The sequence below is a fragment of the Homo sapiens genome, chromosome 18 (genome assembly GCF_000001405.40).
Source record: "Homo sapiens chromosome 18, GRCh38.p14 Primary Assembly".
In the NCBI taxonomy this organism is placed as follows: domain Eukaryota; kingdom Metazoa; phylum Chordata; class Mammalia; order Primates; family Hominidae; genus Homo; species Homo sapiens.
This window is the reverse complement of record NC_000018.10, coordinates 49,758,234-49,764,987: the sequence shown is the minus strand read 5'-3', so window position 1 is coordinate 49,764,987 and position 6,754 is coordinate 49,758,234. Positions and strand designations below refer to the sequence as shown.

At 56.5% G+C, this 6,754-nt stretch overlaps 1 annotated feature.

Annotated features, from left to right (window-relative positions):
* Positions 4,956 to 5,558: an enhancer, noted in NCBI's record as "H3K4me1 hESC enhancer chr18:47285800-47286402 (GRCh37/hg19 assembly coordinates)". NCBI's record gives its function as "activates a minimal SCP1, AML or CMV promoter by ChIP-STARR-seq in primed H9 embryonic stem cells {active_cell/tissue: H9 hESC(primed)}" and the evidence as "EXISTENCE:reporter gene assay evidence [ECO:0000049][PMID:30033119]".

Genomic DNA, 6,754 nt, shown 5'->3' with positions numbered 1-6,754 from the left:
CAGAGAGGGAAGGATGCAGAAACCAGCTGCCAGGGCCCTGGCTCAGGGGACATGTAGTGTGGCCTGTGGTACAGGCAGGTCACCATCGAGTCCATAGACGCAGCCCCCAAAACTTCCAAAAGGTGCTCCTTTGCCTCCTGCACAGGTCTGGGTCATGAAGGTTCCTTCCCTGAAGGGATCAAATCCTATCTGGAAACCCATGGAAAAAGCCCTGACATAATTAAAAGTGCAAGACTGTCGAGAACCAGACACTCTACGCTCTGTGAGTCAGAGAAGGGAGAAGTCAGGTCACCTGAGGAAGACTTTTGTTTGGTTGTTTGTGTCTTTTGCCTTTTTGTTTGTGAAGAGGTTTGCATAGAGGAGGTGGGCTCTGAAGGGCCTCAGAGGATTGAGAGCCCCTCCTGAAGCCCAAGGTTGTAAAATGTGTACCTCCTGGTGGGGATGCTGGGCCCAGGACTGTGGCTGTGGGCTCCTCCTGCACACATGCTGCAGGTGACGGGCTCATTCTGAGCCTCTCCCCACTCTTTCGGGATGTCTTCAGGTGGATGCCCCCAGGCTGCCCCATCTGCAGTGTGTAGACAGTGCAGGTCTCAGCAGCTGCCCCCTCCCCACTCCAGGCCCTGGTCCATGATGTGTCCCCTGCCCCCTAACTGGCTAAGTACCTGCCCTGGGAAGAAGCAGGAGATGAGGCAGAACCCTCCCAAACACACAGACCCAGTGATGGAAGGTCCAGTGCCCACGGGGCACCCAGGCCCCACCAGGAGTTGGCTTTGCTCAGTCCAGGGCTCCTTCAAGTCCTGGGCATCCTGCCAGGCCTCATTCCCCACATGCTTAGTGAACATCTTCCACTAACAATACAAATGGGGAGAAGAGCACCATAGGAACATTCCCGTGAGTTTAGCTACTTCTCAAAGGAAGGAAAAAATAAACATGCATGCCGACAAAGCAGCTATGTTGGCAAGGAGGGGGTGTCAGACTCCTTTGCTGTTCACGTGGAATCCCATTGCTTGAAGCCTGGTGGGCCTAACTCCCACTTTACAGCTGAGGCTCCTGAGACCCAGAGAGGGAAATGGTCTGTCCAAGACCATGGCTTCCATCAACAGCTGAGCTGGTGGAAGGCAGGTGCCCTGAATAACCAGCTGGAGGCAGGTGGTCTCCTTGCACTCCAAAAGGCTGGATGCTATGCCAGAGGCTGAGCCCCACACAGGTGTCTCTTTCATTGTGTAAATGTCCAAAACTCACCTGCTGACCTCCCAGGATGCTTTTACAGCTAATCAAAATAAGAAACCTACTGAGATCACACTTCCCAAGGCCCTTTTCCCAGAGCATTCTAACTCTGTACGCCCCTCTCCCAACCACCCTGACTCCCAGATGTTAAGAACGTTAACAGAGTCAGTGTCCACACTCGCCTGATCTTTTGCTCTTCCCAGAAAAATCAGCCCAATTCGTGTCAGGCCTAGGAAAACGTAGGCTTACGTGGACTTCTCTTTTCTTTGTAGTTGCTAACTCAGGGCGTATCACCTTCGCAGCTTGGGGTATTCTGAACAAACCTCTCAACAGCAGCCTCCACTCACTACAGTGTCCCCCAGACAGAAGAGGATGTTTGCCATTATTACAAGGACATCCTCTTGGGGGACTGAGGGAGAGTTAGGGAGGGATGCAGAAAATTATGAGGACAGAACAAGGAAAGGAAAGAAAGGGCATATGTTTCCTTGCTGGAGAGGGGGAGGAAGCAGAGATGAGGAGGAAAGGGGCGCACAGAAGGGGTGAAGAGAGGAGGAGGAGAGGAGGAGAGGAGGAGAGGGGGAAGAGGGGGAAGTTAGGGAAGAGGACCAGAGGGGAGGGAGCCAGGAAGGTAGAAAATGGCTTGCAAAAACGGGGCTCCCAGGCAGGACCCCTAGCCTTCAGCTTCCCTCGGAGGTGGGGCGGGCAATGGCAACCCGTGTCCTCACTTGGCCATCTCTGCGGTTCCCGAAAGCAGCAGACGCCTGGACTCAGAGCCCCAGGGGTGGCCTGCAGAGACCTCACCCATCCAGTGTGGGGTGAGGCTGAGGGATGAAGGCCACTCCCTGTCTTGTGTCTCCTGCCTTTCTCACGGTATTCAGGGCTCTGGGGTCAGGCCCCTCAGACGGGGTGAGTGCAGGCCCTGAAGGCGCAGGCAGGGAGCAGTGCAGTCTTGGGCCACCACTCATCCGGGAAACCTGAGCTGGAGGTCAGCCCGGGAGGCCCGGTGGGGCGGCGCACTGGGTGGCAGCCAGGGTCTAGCCCCTCTCCCAGAGCCCACCCGAGGCTGCTGGGCCTTTGACTGGGGCTTCTGTCTGCCACCCTCGGGGTTCTTTGATGCTACATTGAACAGGGCACTGGGGTCACCAAAGAACTGGAAAAACTGGGAGTTGGCTGAGGCGAGCGCTCCCTGATGTCTGGAGCATGCGGCCTCGGCCACAGTCTGCACTACCACTTCGTCTTACCCATGAGGGGCTCGCTCCATCTTCCACCCCCGGGCCAAGCTTCCGCCTGATACACTGGCACTGCCAGAACTCCGGTGTGGTCCTCCTAACCCAAACCTGGCTTGAAGGGTGGCTCAGGGAGGGCTTTGATGCCACCCCGCCGGCAGTGGTCCCTTCCGGGTCTCCAGGTACCTGGCCCCGCCGGGCTCATCCATTCAGCTCTGTCCTCCTGGGCCTCTGCATGGCTGCCTCTGTGCACCATTCATCAGCAGTTATCCGCCCAGCGCCCTGCGAGTCCAGGCCCCTACGCGGCAGCAATCCTGCCCAGCCCCTCTGTCCTGCCCTGTGTCTGGTGTGCACATTGAGGGCCTGTTGGAGGCCCAACAGCCTCCATTCAAAGATTCTAACCATAGAATTCTGGGCACTGAGTGGAGAATGTTCTGGTCAACACAGCCTCTGCGCCCCTCCAGATCCTCCTGCCTTCAGATGGGGGCTGCCCTGGCTGCCAGATTCCACAAGACCAGCCCACCCGTTTCTCTCCTGGCATCCTTCTCCGTGGGCCACTGGGCCACAGGACAGCGAAGGGCCCCGAGGAGTGAGTGTGTGTGCGGAGTGAGTGTGTGTGCATGTGTGTCTGTGCATGTGTGTGCCTGTGCGTGTGTGCGTGTGCGTGTGTGTGCGCATGTGGATGTGTGGGGGGGATGTGTGGGGGGATGTGGGGTGTGTGGGGGGTATGTGGGGAGGGTGTGAGTGTGTGGGGGTATGTGTGTGGGGGGTGGGGGTGTGAGTGTGTGCATGGGGATGTGTGGAGGTGTGTGTGTGGGGATGTGGGGTGTGTGGGGGGGAGTGGGGGATGTGAGTGTGGGTGTGTGGGGGGTATGTGGGGAGGGTGTGTATGTGGGTGCGTGTGTGGGGGGTGGGGGGTGTGAGTGTGTGGGGTGTGTATGGGAGTGTGTGTGGGATGTGTTTGGGGGTGCATGTGGGGGGATGGGGTGTGTGAGGTGTGTGGAAGGTGTGAGTGCATGTGTATGTGGGGTACGTGTCTGTGAATGTGCATGTGTGAGAGTGTGGGGGTGGGGGCTGTGGGTGTGAGTGTGCATGTAGGGGGGTGCATGCATGTGTGGGGTGCGTGTGTGTGGGGTGTGTTTGGGGGGTATGGGGTGTGGGGGGGGGTATGGGGTGTGTGGGGTGTGTGGAGGGAAATGTGTGTGGGGGGTATGGGGTGTGTGGGGGTGTGTGTGTGTGTGTGTGTGAGTGTGTGGGGTCTGTGTAGGGGTATGAGTGTAGGTGTGTGTGAGTGTGTGGGGAGCCTGTCTGGCAAGTTTGCCGTTTGCTGAAGACCGGCAATGGCCGGGGCTTAGGCTCTGCCATTTCATGGAGGGGGACTGCGCCCTCATCCCCACCTGCCCCTGCCCCTAGGCAGCACCTCAGAACGACGCAGACGCCCTGAATGAGACCAGCTGGAGGTCTGGCGAGGGCAGCAGGCACAGTTTGGGATGAGCTGGGCAAGCCCTGGCCCTGCGCATTTCCCGACCACATGGTCCCCTCGTTTTTTTTTTTTTTTCCCAAGACAGAGTCTTTCTCCGTCACCCAGGCTGGAGTGCAGTGGCGCTCTCAGCTCACTATAACCTCCACCTCCTGGGTTCAAGCAATTCTCCTGCCTCAGCCTCCCGAGCAGCTGGGATTACAGGCACCCGCCACCACACCCAGCTAATTTTTGTATTTTTAGTGGAGACGGGGTTTTACCATGTTGGCCAGGCTGGTCTCGAACTGGCTGGTCTTGAACTCCTGACCTCGTGATCCGCTCTTCTCGGCCTCCCAAAGTGCTGGGATTACAGGCGTGAGCCACTGCGCCTGCGACCCTGGTGCCCTCTTTTTTTTTTTTTTTTTTTTTTTTGAGAAGGAGTCTCGCTCTGTTGCCCAGGCTGGAGTCCAGTGTCTCAATCTCGGCTCACCGCAACCTTCGCCTCCCGGGTTCAAGCAATTCTCTGCCTCAGCCTCCCGAGTAGCTGGGATTACAGGCGCCTACTACCACGCCCAGCTAATTTTTGTATTTTTAGTAGAGACAGGGTTGCACCATCTTGGCCAGGCTGCTCTTGAATTCCTGACCTCAGGTGATCCACCTGCCTCGGTCTCCCAAAGTGTTGGGATTATAGGCATGAGCCACCATGCCCAGCCCGGTGCCCTAATTTCTAAGGTGAGCCACTGCGGAGTTCTGAGGCCTCTTCCGCCGCCCCCGCAGAGGGACTCCCATATCCCAGGGAGGCACCTGAGGAGGAAGTGGCTTTAACTTACAGGAAAACTGTAGATATTCACTGAGAGCTTCCTCTGGCAGGCCTTCATCCAAGCTCCCCAGGTGCTAATTATCAGCACCTCCTGTTCAGATAAGGAACCCGAAACCCGCAGGGCGGGAGAATAGCCCAGCCTCAGGGAGCTCCTGCATGGTGGAGGTAGGCTTTGAACAGGCAGCCAGACCGACCCCAACACGTCCCCTGCCCCCTGACCTTGCACAGGAACCCCACCTCACCCTTCACTCTCTGCCTCCATCTGGACAGACTATCCTCGGAGCCCTTTAAGCCTTCCTTTAACCAGCCCCCCACCCCCTACACACACACACACACACACACACACACACACACACACACACACACACACACTCTTCCTGCAGCCAGAGTGGCCCCACGCAGTTGATGGGCCCCGCCCCCAGCCCCCGGTACTGTGTCCCTGGCCAGACTGTAAGCTCCTTACAACAGGTTAGGGGGAGGGGGGACGCTCACATGCTCCGAGAAGGCCTGGATTTCCCAGCACAAGGCTGATCCTGAATAAGCTGGATGTTGGGCGTGACCCCCACTCTCTCAACACATCCCTCCCAGTCCCCCCAGCAGCTCTTAGGGGTGAAATAAGGGCTTGGGGGTTCGTGGTGAAGTCAGTTTGGGACATACTCAGGGTTCTATAGGTTTCTTCACTGCAGGGCTTCTCAGAGCTTTCAAAAGGCTAAACACTCACTGGTCAGCTGAAAGAGGAAGATGCAGTGCACAGGTGCGGCAGCTCCCCAAAGGGAGGTGACCAGGGAACAGACCCTTTATCACTGAGTATCTCAAGGGAGGCCACTTTGAGAAACCCTGACCAGAGCACCGGTACCAACATCATTAGTCCCGCCCAACAGAGGGTCTCTAAATCACTGTAAGTTTGTGAATAGTATTGGAAGGACGTGCCCCAAGGATGAATAAACCCTCCTGAGATGTCATAGCCTCTTATCCCCAATGCCTACCACCTTCTCCCCTGGAGTTGATCAGCTTGAACTTGTTGACAGCTTGTAGGCACTTTGCATTGTGGAAACCCACCCCCATCAGCCAGCAGGAGAAAGAGTCAGGGCAGCTTCTGGACCATCAGGAAGCTAAATCATCCCTCGGGAAACTCCAAGTTGATGTTAATGGCACTGGGGGTGGGGGAGGAGGAGAGGCTGTGAAAACACCGGCCTCACGCTGAATGCTACCTGAACAATGAGAAAACACCCCACATGGCGCAGTTCGCAGCACGCCTTCACATCCATTTCTTTATTTGGTCCTCACAATAGCTCTGTGTGGTGATTAAAAACAAATACCACTGGCCGGGCGCGGTGGCTCACGCCTGTAATCCCAGCACTTTGGGAGGCCGAGGCGGGTGGATCACAAGGTCAAGAGATCGAGACCATCCTGGTTAACATGGTAAAACCCCGTCTCTACTAAAAATACAAAAAACTTAGCCGGGCTTGGTGGAGGATGCCTGTAGTCCCAGCTACTCGGGAGGCTGAGGCAGGAGAATGGCATGAACCTGGGAGGCAGAGCTTGCAGTGAGCCGAGATCGTGCCACTGCCCTCCAGCCTGGGCTACAGAGCGAGACTCCATCTCAAAAAACAAACAAACAAAACAAAAACAAAAAGCAAATAGCACTAACGAAAATATGGCTGGGTGTGATTGTGTGTCTGGCTTTGCTCAATGGAGTAAATTTGCCAGGCGGACACAGGACCCTGGCTGGATTCCTCTTACTCTTTTTGCCCCAGCCCATCACCCTGCAATTCCTGTTGGCAGCATCCCCACAACACATCCCAGGCCGACTCCTTCACTCCCTGACACTGACGCCCTAGTCCAGGCCACCTGGGCACTGCCACAGCCTCCCAGTGGTCTTCTGACTTCCACTCCTGCCACCCTGGAGCCTGTTCTTAACACAACGGCCACCTCAAGTCAACCCCCTGCTTAAAATTCTACAGTGGCTTTCCATTGCATTTGGAGAAACATTCCCAGTCCTTCTGGCTTCATCTGCTCTGC